The sequence below is a fragment of the Homo sapiens genome, chromosome 17 (assembly GCF_000001405.40).
Source record: "Homo sapiens chromosome 17, GRCh38.p14 Primary Assembly".
Taxonomy (NCBI): domain Eukaryota; kingdom Metazoa; phylum Chordata; class Mammalia; order Primates; family Hominidae; genus Homo; species Homo sapiens.
Genome location: NC_000017.11, coordinates 55,045,513 through 55,062,346, shown reverse-complemented (window position 1 = coordinate 55,062,346; position 16,834 = coordinate 55,045,513). Strand labels below are relative to the sequence as shown.

At 33.5% G+C, this 16,834-nt stretch overlaps 1 protein-coding gene across 12 annotated transcripts in view; it reads right to left on the bottom strand.

Annotated features, from left to right (window-relative positions):
* STXBP4 (syntaxin binding protein 4) overlaps positions 1-16,834 on the bottom strand; it is a 244,509-nt gene that overhangs the window by 150,927 nt on the left and 76,748 nt on the right. For all 12 annotated transcript variants that reach the window (XR_007065289.1, XM_047435714.1, XM_017024410.2 and 9 more), the window contains one exon: positions 15,193-15,258. Coding sequence is in view for 11 of the 12 variants with exons in the window: in XM_047435714.1 (XP_047291670.1) it covers positions 15,193-15,258 (66 nt within the window). In the remaining variant the exon portion in view is untranslated. The remainder of the gene's footprint in view (positions 1-15,192; positions 15,259-16,834) is intronic.

Below are 16,834 nucleotides of genomic sequence, written 5' to 3'. Positions count from 1 at the left end.
AACCAAACACTGCATGTTCTTACTCAAAAGTGGGAGTTGAACAATGAGAACACATGGACACAGAAAGGGGATCATCACACACTGGGGCCTGTCAGGGGGTCAGGGGTGAGAGGAGGGATAGCATTAGGAGAAATACCTAATGTAGATGATGGATTGATGGGTGCAGCAAACCACCATGGCACGTGTATACCTATGTAACGAACCTGCACGTTCTGCACATGTATCCCAGAACTTAAAATATATATTTAAAAAAAAAAAAGCCTTTTAAGATAATTGTAGAGATGGAGTCATGATTGGTTGCCCAGGCTGATTTTGACCTCTTGGTCTGAAGCAATCCTCCCACTTTGGCCTCCTAAAGTGCTGGGATTACAGGCATGTATAGGAGAATGCACTCTTTATCCAACCTCCCCCAGTAGTTTCATCTTGCATGACTGTAATAGACTATCACAACTAGGAAACTGACATGGATACAACCCACAACTTTATTTAGATTTAACCAGTTTTAAATGCACTCATCAATAAGAAGGAACAACCTACAGATACACACAAGAATCTAGACGAATCCCAAGGGAATTATTGCTGAGTAAAAAGAACCAATCCCAAAAGATGACATACTGTATGATTCCATTTATACAATATTCTTGAAATGACAACATTATGGAGATATAGAACAGATTAGTGTTTGCCAGGTGTTAGGGGAGCAGGTAGGATGTGGCTGTGGCAATAAAAGAATAGCATGAGGGATCTGAGTAAAGAGGGTTTTTGGTAGAAAATAAAAGCTGGCATTCTGAGGCCACAGTGACTATCTGAAATGGAAACAGGAACATTTTACTACAGCATGCTTTTAGAACAGAAAAGACTGACAAATATATGTATTTTTCTTCTTTTTCCCTCTGAAGATGAGATAGCATCTTAAAACACCTACTAGTGCTATACTGAAAAACTAGTAAAAATTTAATCACTAAAGAAAAATAAGAGAAATCACATCAATTCTGAAAATTAGAGGCTTTGCTGCTTTTTAAATGAATACACAAGAAACACAATCTTTAAAAGTGTGAAAATGTGAAAAGTACTTTAGGAATCACTTATTATTGTTGTTCCTTTTAAAGACACATTTAATTTGTTCTTGGTTTCCTTTGTTGCTTCATCTGAAAACTAAGATAGCTCACATGTCAGCTGCACTAGCTGTTACTTGATTCATGTTCAACCTCAATTGTCCACAGAGAATCCTGTGTTGATTTGACCTTATATTTCTGCCTCAGGACTTCATGCTCTTCTCAAGAACTGAACTCAACCTTTACACAGGTGAGGCCAACTACAAGTGGGCTTATCTGAACCCAGAGAATTTGCCAAATGCTTAATATCCCATGTTTCTTTAGGGCAAAGACTGGTTCAGACAAGCTAAATATTTTGGCTTTGGACTGTTCACCAATTCATTGCTGCCTTAGGTCATAATACTATGCTGAAAGAAACTTTAAAAACAACTTAAGTGTGAGAGTAGGCTTTAGAAAGCTGTTGATCAAAGGAAGTCGCTAAGAGTGGCCCATGCCTGTGAAAAGTTGTTAGAACTTGAAGAAAAAATAACAACAATTTCATGGGAAATTGTGCTCATGATTTTAAACTTAAGCTCGGTTATTCTGTAAGACACAAAAACTCATAAAAATACTTGAGTTTTAGAGAACAGTACAGCCAATTCTTTTCAAAACAGTGAGTAGGTATTCTGGTAGCTATCCTTGATTGAATAAAACAATGAAGGTGATCCTTCCAGTGAAAAATGAGCCCTTCACAGCTTGTTTTAATAATTAGGTTATCTATGTGCTTAAGGAATTTACATGGGATGATCATTAGTACTGTAGTAACTTGGTGTCAAGATCTTCAAAAGGATATCAAAGGAAAGAAACTGCCAAATTTCACACCATTTAAATTTCTAGTTTTTAAAAATTTTTAAGAGAAGAGTTATACATACTCTGTATTTATAATTTTTAAAGACTCATTTATTGTGAAAAAAGAAATCAATCTTTGGAAAAATGGAAAGGTATTTTCACTAAAGCATAGGAACTCTTTCATTAACAATAGGTCTGTATCATCAAAATCCTCTTAACAAAATAATATCATTCTATGTACATAAGAAAAGCTGAATAGTATCCATGGTCAACATATTTTAAAATTGGACACTTTCAGGGTTGATTTTGGGTAGTCTATGTTTTTTTACGGTGTTAATGAAATGAATGGTGTTTCAGTATGTATGCATGTGGGTTTGTATACACAGATGTATACATGTATTTTTAATTATTTTTGTTTAAACTGGAAACTATATACTAAGTACTACTCTGAATCCACACATCTTTACCCTCAATCTCATTTATCTTATTTTGTTGATTGCATCATTACAGCCTCTCAGTCACTAAACTACAAAGACTTGACTGTTGTTTCTCCTTATTACTGCACATTTTATGACTGTTAAATCTGGTGGACTTTATCCTCATGGTGTCTTCTGCATAGACCTTTTTGGTATATTACTATTATGATTACCCAGTTAAATCCTCCATTGCCTATTTTCTGGACAAGAGCTTCTCAAATTTTAAGGTGTAAACAAATCACCTGAAGACTTGTTAAGTGTAGATTCTGATTCTATAGATCTGGGATGAGACCTAAGACTGCATTTCTAAGTTCCTGATTGCTGATATTTCTCCTGTTGCTGACCACTCTGAGTAGAAAGGATGTAGAGTTCTAGATCAGCATTGTCCAATCACAGTAGCCACTACTTATATGTGGCTACTGAGCACCTGAAATATAGCTAGTTGACTGAGGAACCAAATTTTTAATTTAATTATAATTATTTTGTATTTAAGTTTAAAAACTCAAGAAATGTAAACTATTTTTTCACAAAACAAGACTTTACTGTTTTGGTAGAACTCTAACTCACTGTAATCACTGCATCATTTAAGATATTATTGTTGAACTGTAATGTCTGTGTCAGGCACATGAGTCAGTTGAGTAGTATACATAAACACGTAACTGATGTGGCCAGTGTCAAAAAATTAATTAATTATAAATCCTTTTTTACACACCAATATGTACACACAGTAGGCTTATCTGAATATTTTATGCAATCAGCCTGAGTTACAATGATACCTAGGTAAATCATATTAGTAATTAAATTAAAATACTTATTTTTATTAGGCTATATTTATTTTTTGTATTTAGTAAAAATTTGTCCATAAAATAAGTATGGACAAAATTAAATTTAAATTAAATGTAAAGTGAAGACATACTACTGATGCAGAATAAAATGGAGATAAATTAGCTAGTAATATTACTGGAACAATGCAATTGCAATTTGCAAAAAGTGTGTTTACTGTAGAAGAAAATTTTGAAATATATATAAAGTGAGCAATATTAATAGCCATTTTTGCAAATTAATGGTGAATTTGATAAGAAGTTTCGTATTAGCAGTTAAAAAAATAAATAAATAAAATTAGTCACCAGAAGTAAATGTCCAACATTTGTAACTATAAAATGGCTAGAATTTTTGCACAAAAAAGAAAACCATTTTTAGATTGAGATAGTAATTTCAGTTATGATAAAAATACTGGGAAACGTATTTCATAAAAAATGGAGGATATTCAATTAAGTAATAAAACAAATGCCCATCGACTATAAGAACTTTCTAAGAATATCAACGATCAATTGATTAAAATAGCTTTCAGTGGGCCATATCATGCAAGAGACACTACCAAATTCATCCTTCAGGCATGTACTGCCTCAAAGGGTGTCCAAACTTATGATAAAATGTTGATTTGCAGCCTAAAAAAATCAAACTTGCAGTGTAGATATTTTTAACCCTTTTACATCTGTCAAAAAAGTTTCAGGTAGATAATAAAAAACAAGTTTTCATCATGATAAATGGTGCTCCAGCTATGTTGCATCGAAAATTTAAATGTATTAACCCCATCAAAAAGTGGGTGAAGGATATGAACAGACACTTCTCAAAAGAAGGCATTTATGCGGCCAAGAAACATATGAAAAAAGCTCATCATCACTGGTCATCAGAGAAACGCAAATCAAAACCACAATGAGATACCATCTCATGCCAGTTAGAATGGCGATCATGAAAAAGTCAGGAAACACAGATGCTGGAGAGGATGTAGAGAAATAGGAATGCTTTTACGCTGTTGGTGGGAGTGTAAATTAGTTCAACCATTGTGGAAGACAGTGTGGCGATTCCTCAAGGATCTAGAACCAGAAATACCATTTGACCCAGCAATCCTCTTACTGGGTATATACCCAAAGGATTATAAATCATTCTACTATAAAGACACATGCACAAGTACGTTTATTGTGGCACTGTTCACAATGGCAAAGACTTGGAACCAACCCAAATGCCCATCAATGATAGACTGGATGAAGAAAATGTGGCATATATACATCATGGAATTCTATGCAGCCATAAAAAAGAAAAGACTTCATGTCCTTTGCAGATACATGGATGAAGCTGGAAACCATCATTCTCAGCAAACTAACACAGGAACAGAAAACCAAATACTGCATATTCTCACTCTTAAGTGAGAGTTGAACAATGAGAACACATGTACACAGGGAGGGGAACATCACACACTGGGGCCTGTCGGGCGGTGGAGCAAGGGGAGGGAGAGCATAAAGATAATACCTACTGCATGCAAGGCTTAAAACCTAGATGTCGGGTTGATAGGTGCAGCAAACCACCATGGGATATGTATACCTATGTAATAAACCTGCACGTTCTGCACATGTATCCCAGAACTCAAAGTAAAATTAGAAACAACAACAACAACCAAATTTGAATGTATTGACATTTTCAAAGAAGAAAGAGGCTGCTTTATTGTTTTATTCCACTGTATGATACATATTGAAAATATTTGTGCTTAGTTTTCTCAAGCTGATTTTATGAAAAGCATCATAGATACAGTTGCTAACACTGTTTAGTATACGCACGTAAATTGAGTCATCAGTAGTTTATAAAACTGTTAAAAGAAAAAAGGAGGACAATACATTTTCTGATGCTATGTTATTTGCCAATACTTCTTGGCTGAGTTATGAAAGAGATTTACGAAGATTTTCTGTACTTTTAACTCCAATTAAAGGTTTTCTTAAACAAAAGGAAGGTGCATCTATTATTCAGTAACCAGACAAAAGAAAATGGCAGTGTGATTTACATTTTCTCACTAATATCAGTGCATGTAAATGAGTTAAACTACAAACTACAAGGAAAAGGAAAGTTTATGAAGCTAGATAAGTATAAGAGTTTATAGTGAAATTGAACTTTTTCATAATATAAATAAAAAATAATGACTTTACCTATTTTTCTACTATAAGCTAATATGCAGATCTTAATTATTGATAGTGTTACATAAATTGGCTATGAAAACTGAAAAAATTTTGAAGTATGCTTTCTTCATACTGCTAAATTTAGAGTTGCTTTTGTTATTTGTAATACTCCTTGAATTTGATGCTAATATTTTTTGTAGAGTCGGGGGTTCTCCATGCTGCCCAGGCTGGAATGGAACTGCTGGGCTCAAGCGATCTGCCTGCCTTGGCAGATCTCCCAAAGTTTTGAGATTACAGGCATTAGCCACTGGGCTTGGCCAGTTTTTTTGTTTGTTTTTGAGACAGGTTCTTCCTCTGTTGCCCAGGCTGGAGTGCAGCGGCATGATCATAATTCACTGCAGCCTCCATCTCACAGGCTTGAATTTTATGCTAATAATACTGAGCTGACAAGAATTAGTGACGGTACTTAACAGATGTAGCTTTGAAAAGATCTTGCTTAAAAACAAATTCTTCTTAGAAAATAAAATAGTTTTGTTAGTGTGGATGTAAACATTAAAAGAAAAAGATTTTTGGTATTCAATTCAGTCATTAGAAACTTTTAAAATAAGTTTGGAACAATTTGAGTATGTGAATTTACTTTTTCAACTGTAAATTTTATTAAATCTAAGCACAGATCCAGTATTTCCAATGAAAATTCAGTGTAAAAATTGAGATGTGCTCTAAATTTTAAAAACACTAGATTTCAAAGATACAGTATAAAAAAGTAAAAATATCTCATAATGAATTTTAAAAATATTACTGCATGCTAAAGTAATATTTTAGATAAATCCAACTAAATAAAATATATTAAAATTAACGTTACCTGTTTCTTTTTCCTTTTTTAAAAATGTAGCTCTTAGAAAATATAGCAATATATTGTGGCTTTCATTATATTTCTAAGGGACATTGCTGTTCTAGACTATTACAACAGCCTTTTATCTGATCTTCGGTTACTTCCCAACTTGCTGTCAGTTTAACCTTAAAGTATATCCTCCATTTATCCCTTTATCCATTCACCAAATGTTTGAGTACCTAATAACAGCTATTGTTGTAAGATAAATCAGAGAACAAATCCAAGATAGCTGTCTTCATGAAGCTTACCCTCCAGTTGGGGGACACAGATAAAGAGCAAAACATAAGTAAATTATTTAAGATGTAAGATAGTAATAGTTATACTAAAAGAAACTCCTCCACACACAGTAAGGGTCAGAGGAAAGATGGTGCAAAGAGACCAGATGAGCTGGAGAATGAGTAAAGGGGTGGAGGGGAGAAGTGTGGAAAGAGCTGAGGTACTTTAAAAGGAGTGTTAGGATGGGGAAAGGACAGCAGGTCATGTAGGCCCTCATAGGCTTTAACAGTTACTTGGAGGTTTCTACTTGCAGCATTTCTGCCTTACTTTGACTGAGATGGAAAGTCCTGGAGAGTTCTAAGTGCAGTTTTAAAACAATATTTCTGGCTGCTTTGTTCAGATTAGACAGTATGGGAGTGAGGCAGGGTAAAAGTAGCGTGATCTGGTAGGAAGCTATAATAGCAACACAGGTGGGACCTGATGGCGGCTTAGACCACTGATGGAAGTGGTGAAAAGTGGCAAAATTCTGTGATTTCTAAAAAGTAGGCCCAACAAGTTGGTTATGGAGTATGAAAGAAAGAGTGGGGTCAGATTATACGTGGAGACAGTTGTTCATTTTTCTCTCCTTGTCAAATATTTTAAATGGCAGTCCTCTAAGATCTTAGGCTGGTATTCAACTGCTTATATGTGTAGGCCCCAACACACCCACCCAAATGTCATTTCCTAACAGCTTCATCTTTCCGTGTTTCCCTTATGTTCCTGGGCCTTTGATAGTGATGTTGATAAAAGAATACATGTCAAAACTAGTATTCAAAATTAGATTCCTGACAGGTTTAGGCTCTTAAATTCTCAAGTCCTATGAAAAAATTGTAAGGTAGGTACTATTAACACTTTTTCAGACATGAAGACAGAAATATATTAACAAATAACTTAAAGTTAGCATAGAAAAGGTTTATTTTGACCACAAACACAAGCAAATTTCCCCTTTTATGCCATGATTTTCATGCTGTTTTCTCAGCCTGAAATGCTCTGCCTTTCTGTGTCTGGGTCAGCTCACGTGCCACCTTATCTATGAAAAGTCCCCTTATGCCCTCAGTTAAAATTACATTTTCCTCCTCTTTATTAAATAGTTAATACAAATCATTTCCACCTCTTAATATTTTTTCTTCTATTATTTGTAATATTTGTTGAGTGGTATGTGCTATACACATTATCATCTATGTGTATTATCTTAATACCTCTAATGTTATTGTGAAGGATCCCATTATCAAACCCATTTTGCAGATGAGGAAGCTGAGACCCATAAAGGTGAAGTAGTTTGACAAAGGTCAAAAGCTAGCAAGGAGCAGGGTCAGGGTATAAACCAAAGGTATAACTCCAAACCCCATTATCTACTGCACTTATCCTTAGGCCAATTCACTGTGTTTTTGTTTTTGTTTTGTTTTTGAGATGAAATATCACTCTATTACCCAGGCTGGAGTGCAGTGTAGTCTCAGCTCACTGCAGCCTCCACCTCCCAAGTTAAAGTGATTCTTGTGCCTCAGCCTTCCGAGTAGCTGGGATGACAGGCATGTGCTACCATGCCCAGCGAATTTTTTTGTATTTTTAGTAGAGATGGGGTTTCACCATGTTGGCCAGGCTGGTTTTGAACTTCTGGCCTCAAGTGATCCACCCACCTTGGCCTTCCAAAGTGCTGGGATTATAGGCGTGAGCCACTGTGTTTGGCCAATTCACTGTGAACCATATAAGATTCTCTCTTTTGTTTATATATTTTTTCATATATTCATTTTTTTGTCTTATTAAATTCTAATACAAATTAGCCTTAGATTACTTATTCATGCAGACATGACCTTTCTTAATAACAGAAACTAATCCTTTCACAGAAATAAATACAGGAGGGCCTCATGTGGAAAAAGTAGGTACTGCTAGAAAAAGAAAAAAACTGCTATTTTTCCTTAGATTCACATCTTACATCAGCCTTTAATACAATTATTATTTTATCAATCATGGCTGATATTCTAAAGTTTATATATTCCAAGCCTTTAGGAGAAAAGAAAAATGTAAAGTTAGGAGAAAAATCCCCTAATTTATCCTACATATAAAAACTAACAAGAAAGATTTGTAAATGTCCATTTTCAGGATGCAAACGCTAAAATGTAAAAAGATCTGGCCATATAAACTCATGGAGGTATAAAAGATACAGAATGAAAAGCACTAAAAAGTCATATCAATTAAAGTACAAAAATATTTAATAAAATGAGGGTCCGAAAATTGGCCCGAAAATAGAGGACTTTAAAAAAACTTGACTTTGGAAATAATTTCAAATATTCAGTTGAGCTGCAAGAATAGTATAAAGAATATCCTCATATCCTTTACCCAGATTTACCTAATTCCCCAGGTTCATCCTTTTGCCAACATGTTCATGAGTGAGAAACAATATATTCTTGTAAGCCACTGATAGTAAGTGGTTGTGGCTGAGATTTTGCATGTTCTCAATCTCGCTCACATATTTATTCATATATGTAATATTTATACACAATGCAATTACATATATGTGTATAAATAACACACATGTATATATAAATATACATGCACTTTTTTAACCATCTGAGGGTAAGTTATATATATCATGGTCCTTTATCCCTAAAAACTCCAATATTTCCTATGAATAAGGATATTTTCTTATATAACCACATATTTCCTAAGAATAAGGATATTCTTTTATATAACCACAGTACAGTTAACAAATTTAGGAATTTTAACATCAATTCAATGCTTTAATCTACCATCTGTATTCCAATTTTGTCAACTGACCCAATAATATCCTTTATAGCATTTTTCCCATTCCGGTAGAGGATCCAGTCTGGAGTCAGATGCTGTATTTAGTTTTCACGTCTCTTTAGCATCTTTTAACCTGTAAACTTTTATTACCTTTTTTTTTTTTAAGAAAATAGCATTGACATTTCTAAAGAATACAACCCACACACACACACACACACACACACACACACACACGTCATACACGTCTTTTTTTTTTTTTTTTTTTAAACAAAACTTTCTCTCATTTTGAGCTTGCCTGACATCTCTTCATGGTTAGATTCAGGTTACACATTCTCGCCCAGAAAATTACACAGGTGATGTTGTAGTCATTTTTTGGGCATCATATTTGGAGTCACACAATGCCCAAATGTTCTTCATTGGTGATATCAACATTTAGCACATTTAGCAACATTTAGTCAAGGTGTTTTCTGATTTCTCCACTGTATAACTGCTATTTTACCCCCTTGCAATTAATAAGCAGTTTGTAGAGAGATACTTTAAAACCATGTAAATATTCTGCTCTTCATCAAAATTTTTCCCTAAATTTAGCATTGAATGATTTGTGCCTGATCAAGTCTTTATTAAAATAGATATAAAATACTGATTTCCAAATCTAGCAGCTTCTCTGCAATTACCAGTCAGTATTCAACATCCTACTATAGGCAAAAGTACTCCTTTCTCCCTATTAATTAATTAATCAATTTACGAATGATACCGTGAATTACGATTTCTTCTATAGTCTGCAATACATTACTGTACTAAATTATTTTGGTACTCAAGTTCTTCCATATTTGGCCAGTGGAAGCCCCTTCAAGCTAGTTCCTGTGATATGCCCCTGTCATTTTGAGCACGTCCTTATTTTCTGGCATATTAAGATATTCCAGGCTTATATTTTACTTACCCTTCCTCATTTCTGAAATTTGTCATTTCTCTGAGTAGCCTGGCTTTCTTCTAGTGGGGAGTGGTATCTGGACACTTAGATATAGTAATGTGCTCACTGTTATTAGGGTGTCTGTTTCTTAGCCCTTTAAGTTGACAGAGCTAGGGAAAATATACATATACAGATAGTCCCTGACTTATGATGGTTTGACTTAATGTTTTTTTTGACTTTATAATAGGCTTACTGGGGTATTAAACACATTTTCTACTTGATATTTTAAACTTGGATTGGGTGTATCAGGACATAGCCCCATTGTGTTGAGGAACATCTGTATATATACACACGCATATATATAATACACATGTGTACATACATGTTCATATGCACATATATATAAAAGAAATGATGTATTCACAATGATACATCCAATTCAAGCCCATCCCGCAGGGTTCTTTCCTTCTTTCTTTTTCCTTTTAAGAGACAAGGTGTCACTATGTTGCCCAGGCTGGAATACAGTGGCTAGTCACAGGCACCATAATAGCACACTGTGGCCTCAAGCCATCCTCCCACTTCAGCCTCCCAAGTGGCTGGAACTATAGATGCATACCATCACACCCAACTCAGGGTCCTTTCTTGACTTCATTCATTCTATTTTATCTTTTCTTTTTCATTGAGATTCTGCTTCTCAACAACAATGAACACATTTGCTCAGACCTATAAAGCATCTAAAATTGTTTCAGAACTGCTTTGCCCCACCACTAAAACAATAAAACAAAACAAAACAAAACAAAAAAAGGTTTAGGACTTGTATGAAATTCCTTCCCAACTCAATTCCATCCTGACAAAACACTGAACACAAATACTGCATTCACTAGTTGCTTGAATTGGTTCTATCTTTGTTTTTTTTCCTTACCATAATTATGGTATTCATTTGAAATACAATTAGATTCATTTTCTTCAGTACACTTGCAGTTTTAGGTTTATTTTTCCCTTTCCATCTTAATTTTTAATATATTTTTCGAATGAGTAGAATATTAACATGTACACAAAAGTAAATATTACATGAAAAGGTATTCTTAGAGAAGTGTCACTCTTTCCTGTATCTTAACATGCATATCTACCCATGTTGTAGGTAATCAATTTCATTGCTGTGTAGTTTATCCCTCCTTTGATTTCTTTTACAAAAATAGGCAGGTGTATTTTCAATTTTCCTTGTTCATAAAAGATACAGAAAGGAGTGACACCTCTCTAAGAATACCATTTCAGGCCCGGTGCAGTGGCTCACACCTGTAATCCAGCACTTTGGGAGGCTGAGGCAGGCAGATCACCTGAGGTCAGGAGTTCAAAACCAGCCTGGCCAACATGGCAAAACTGCATCTCTACTAAAAATACTAAAATTAGCTGGGCATGGTGGTGCACACCTGTAATCCCAGCTACTTGGGAGGCTGAGGCAGGAGAATCGCTTGTACCCGGGAGGTGGAGGTTGCAGTGAGCTGAGATCGTGTCCCTGCACTACAGCCTGGATGGAACAAGACTTTGTCTAAAACAAAAACAAACAAACAAAAAGAATACCATTTCATGTAATTTTTACTTCTTACTTCTAGGTACATGTTAATATTCTGCTTCTCTTCCAGGAGGAGCAATTTGTCTGATGATGTTCATTCTCCAGTTCCTTTGGTAGTTGCTTATTATTAAATGTTTAGGTTCTGGAGTTATTTTTTATTGGGGGATGTCCTCCGTCATCCCCCAATGAATGTCATCATTCTTTAGACGGTTTGACTTAATGATTTTAGAAGCTAGAAGTTCTATGGTAGTATAGATTTAACTGGCATTTCTTTTATTATGAGAGAAAGAGATTGAGTATCTTTTCATTTGTTTAATGGACATTTTTATAGCTTTTTTGATGAATTATCTGTTCAGGTCTTTTGCCTATTTTTCTATATAATTTTGGTTTCTCTTTAACTATTAAAACTTCTAACTGGTTATTATTTGTGTATATGGATGCAATTTAGTTTTGCATCTTAATTTTATATCTTGCTAGCTTATCAACTTACTGAGTTACTTTTATCACTCTCTAGGGTATTCCAGATTACTACCATATCATCTGCAAAAAAAGACAGTTTTATTTTTTCTTTTCCAAGTCATATGCCTCTAATTGCTTTTCTAGTCTAACTGTATCTTCTTTTTTGTGCCATTTTTATTAAGTTTATACATCAACGCTATACTTGCTTCATGAAAAGAATTTGGAAAATTTCTTTCATTTTTTATACCCTGAAACAATTTATATAGTTTTGAGACTGTCAAAGGTTTGGTTAAATTTCTCTGTGAAACCATCTTGCCTGGTCCTTTTATCTAGAATAGTTTCTTGATAACTTACTTTATCTCTTCTACAGAAAATGGCCTTTTAGGCTTTCTATCTTTACTCCGGTCAGTTTTGGCAAACTATATTTTTTGAAAAACTTTTTAAAAAATAGGTGAGTTGATCTTATTCATGTTAATTAAGATAACCATTATGTTTGGTTGCAGTTCTATAAAATTTTCTTATGTTGAAATTATTGTGTATATTTACTCATTTCTTTGTGTGTCCTTTTTACTTAAAAAATTCTTTTTGGTGTTTATGAAGGTTTGTATTTTCATTCTATAGGTTACCTTTCCATTATTACTTTTTAAGTGCTTGCTATCTCCTCTATTTTTACCTAATTTTTATCTGATATCAGTTTTAAATATTTATTGACTGCTACGCTTTGCTTATATAACAAAATGATGTATTCTGTTTTCCTCTTTTTTCTTTCTTATCCTCCCATTAAAAAATTTGCATCTTTTGACTTTTGTTAACACATGTAATGTTCATGCTATTTTTTTCATCCATGCACTGACTCATTTTAGTCTCACCTGTACAATAAAATATATGAAGTTCTCACCATTTGGGAACATTTTCCAAAGTTATTTTAGGCATTTTTTAGTTGGATAAAACTCATCCTATCTGAAGGTCTTCAGGAATATCATGTGTGAAATATTCCCTTAGTACTGGTATATCACAAACTGTTTTCTATGGCCTTGATATTTTAAAGTCAGGTTGGCTATATAAAACATTTTTGTATACTTTCTTTCTTTCCTTTCATGTCCTGAAAATGTTGTTCCACTATTGCCTTACTTTGCATGTTGTTTTGAGAAACCCAATGCTGGTCTAATTCTATTGCCTTCATAAGTTGCTTAATCTTTTTACTTGGAGGCAGTGTGCATTTATTTTCCTCTAAAGTCTAATAATTTTACTAGAATATATTGTACAGTAATCTTTCCAGGTCAGATTTCCCCAGTACCTATATTAGATTCAGGTCTTGTTTTAATTATAGAAAGTTTTCTTGGATTATAGTTCTAAGTATTAGGCTGTTCAGTTATTTTGATTGATTTCTTTAAGAAACTCTTTTACTTCTTGATTATATTTTCACTTTCCTAGTTGCTTTTCTTGTTTTCTTCATTGCCTTTTCACTTGATTATATTCTTCCTGGAGCAACTTGTAATTTAGTTTTCATTTCTGATAGGATTTTGTCTCTTCCTTCTTTCCTAAGTTTTATCAACTCTCATTTCACTTTTTCCTGATTTTTTTGGGGGTGATCAATATCTATTATTACTATTTTTTAAGTTTCTCATTTGAGATGTGTTTTTCATAGCCCAAATGCTTATTTGAGGAAATTCCCTTGAGTATGGAGTGTGACGTTACATTTTTCTTAAGTTTTGTGGTTAAATTGTTTTGGAAAGTTTTCATCAGGAGGAAAGCTTTCATTGATATCATCTGACTTTTTCAGTCGTTTTATAATGATGGAGATAGAATTTTTGTTCTATACTTTTTTATTTCACAGAAAAAGTTCTTAGTTCAAGAGCACTCTCTTCTGTGCAGTTTCTTCTATGGATCTTGTTTTGATGGTCATAGGGTAGGGTGGGTGGATTAATAAGTTGTGTTCTGCTTTCATTTCTATAAGCTCCTTAATTTTCCCTTCTTATTTCCTTCTTTCCTATCATTGCGAAGTCTCCAAGGAATTCTATCCATTCTCTATTGATCTGGTTCTTCCTCAGAAACAATGATTCTTCAAGGCTGCCATTTTTGATTGCATTCATACCTTGAAGTCTCTTTTTTTGTAGCTAGTGCTAAGAACCACCAAGTCTTGACATACGGCCAGTATTTTGGCATTTATGTTTACCTTTTCTCTTTCTGGGGGTGATTTTGTTTGTTCTTCATCTAATTCATAGTTTCTCTCTACTCTTTATTTCAGAATTTTTCAAGCCTTGCCTCCTCTGTTCTCTGTATTCCAGGTTTCAGTAAAGGCAAGCTTCAGAAGTTTTGTTGGAATTATTATTTTTCTTGTTGTATTTATATGTACTTTAAAGGCTGTGGTGTTTTTTTGTCACATAGTCATATTCAAAATATGGGTCCTGTATGGTTCTATCTGCTTTCTTTGTTGATTTTATGTTTTCTAGGGGGACTGTGTGAGGGAGATTCAAAATCAGGTGATCACTGTTGATCTCTAACAATGTTCTCTTATTTATATTTTGTCATTTGGGTTTTCATTTTATGATATTGTCATATATTTGTTTTATAGTGAGCTACCTCAAATTCTTTGAAGAATAATGCAAAGTGAAAATAAATATTTGCTTTTTATTATTAACAAATAAATGTAAAAAATGCTCTGCCTTGATGACTTTTTTGTTCTTTAGTAAAATGAAGTATGAGTAACAAAATAAAAAAGAAAAAGAAAAAAGGGGAAATGAAAGAAAAGAAAAAACAATGGAGAAGTAATGAGATTGGTTATTTTGGTCTATGGATATGTTTTTTTCAAAGAAATTTCAAAGAGGTTTTAACATTGTTTTGAGCAATAGTAGCAAGACTTTAGCATAGGTACAGCCTCCAAAAGTGATTGCTTTTAAGCTCTGTGCTATTTTGTATTATGTAATATGTATCAGGAAGCTCTGGGATATTGTAAAGAACCACTGCTTTATAATTATACCTCATATGTTCACACACACACACACACACACACACACACACACGAGCACATATATACACAATACATATACTTACTTGTTTCACATTCTGGAGCTCTTCTGTCAATTGTTTCCTTTGCTTATCTGATTCCAATAATTTTTCCTATATTTAAAAACCACCAAATTAACAACTTGTTATGAAAGTATTAACAAGTGTGACTTCTTAGTCCCTTGTTTCAAGGCCTATATTCCCAAATATCAAATTGCTACAATCTGAAAATATTGCTCCTAGTCATTTTTCTGGCTTTACATGAGGCACTTAAAAGTAATTAGTTATTTACAGTAAATTGTGATGTAAATATACTTTTTATTACCTTAATTTTGCAAAATCTCAAAATATAAGCTCTAACAGAAGCCAGTTAAGAATACAAATGTGTAAATATTAACACAATTTTGGTTAAGCTATCATTGCCAAAGAGATACCAAATTGAAGAGCATTATTATTACAAATTAGAATTAAAGGTCTTCGACCATACAAAAGAGGGCATATGAGACTGGCTCACCTCTTAATTTCCTAATTTAATTTTAGCTTATTCTTGGAAGATTATCCATGAAAAGGCATATATGACTAATGTAAACAAAACATAAAATAATAGTTATTAAGATTAATATTATACATACACATAAAATATCTTTGGATTTGAAATTAAGTCAAGCATATACCCTACGATGTCCATTTTTATTAATTATATCTTAAATAAATTCACATTTTATTGGTCAAATCAGAAATACTAAGAGTAATTTAAGAGCCATTAAATACAAACCTGAACAGAGGAATTGCTCGAACATTAAATTGAGTGGTAAAGATTCATGGCAATATTACAATGTTTAAAAAAGGCAATATCCTTTCTGGTATATTTCAGCTTATTCTTGTCTAAGAGGTGAAATGAAGGTATATGAAAATGAATATAATATGGCAATCTAATGACTATGCCACAGGAGCCAAGAGACTGCTGGCTCCTGTGATTTTATGTTCTGGGAAGTCACCTTCACTCTTTGTGCCCTAGTTTTTTTGTATCTGTAAATGGAAAATATATCTATTTTCCATTCACCTTTGCAAAGCAGTAGCAATGTGAATTCTGCAGAAAGCCTTCCTTAAATAAAGCCCACAGCACTTTTAAAAATTATTCTTGCAAGATAAAAATTAGCTATTGACATAAAATTATCTTGGTTTCATTTTTATTTGTACCTCATATTAGACATGAAGAATAGAGATGTCACAGGATAATGAAAAGTGATGAGACACCACCTAAATGCTTTATGAACTTCATTTAACAACCTCTGCTTTTTATGAGTGTATAATACAAGTAGAAAAACTGAAAACAAAAACATTACCTTTAACGAAATATTTATTGCTTTGTACACTACTTTATATGGCTTCTTTAACTGGCCAGCCAATAGGTAGGTTTTGAGGTAAAGGTAATTATAACATGTAAAATTTGTTTTATCTGGAATTTTTGTACCATATTCTAACCAACTGAGCTAGCTGGTTGCCGGCTTATCTGGGAGTTTAGGTTTTGTCATATCAGGGTATATTCAGTTACATTTCATGAACTTTAAAGGTAAATCCTGATTTATTGAATGACTCCTCAGGGAAGTCTTATTGAAATGTTAAATTAACATGACATATACACTTTCAAATTAACATTCTAATAATTACTGTTGATATTAAAATAAAA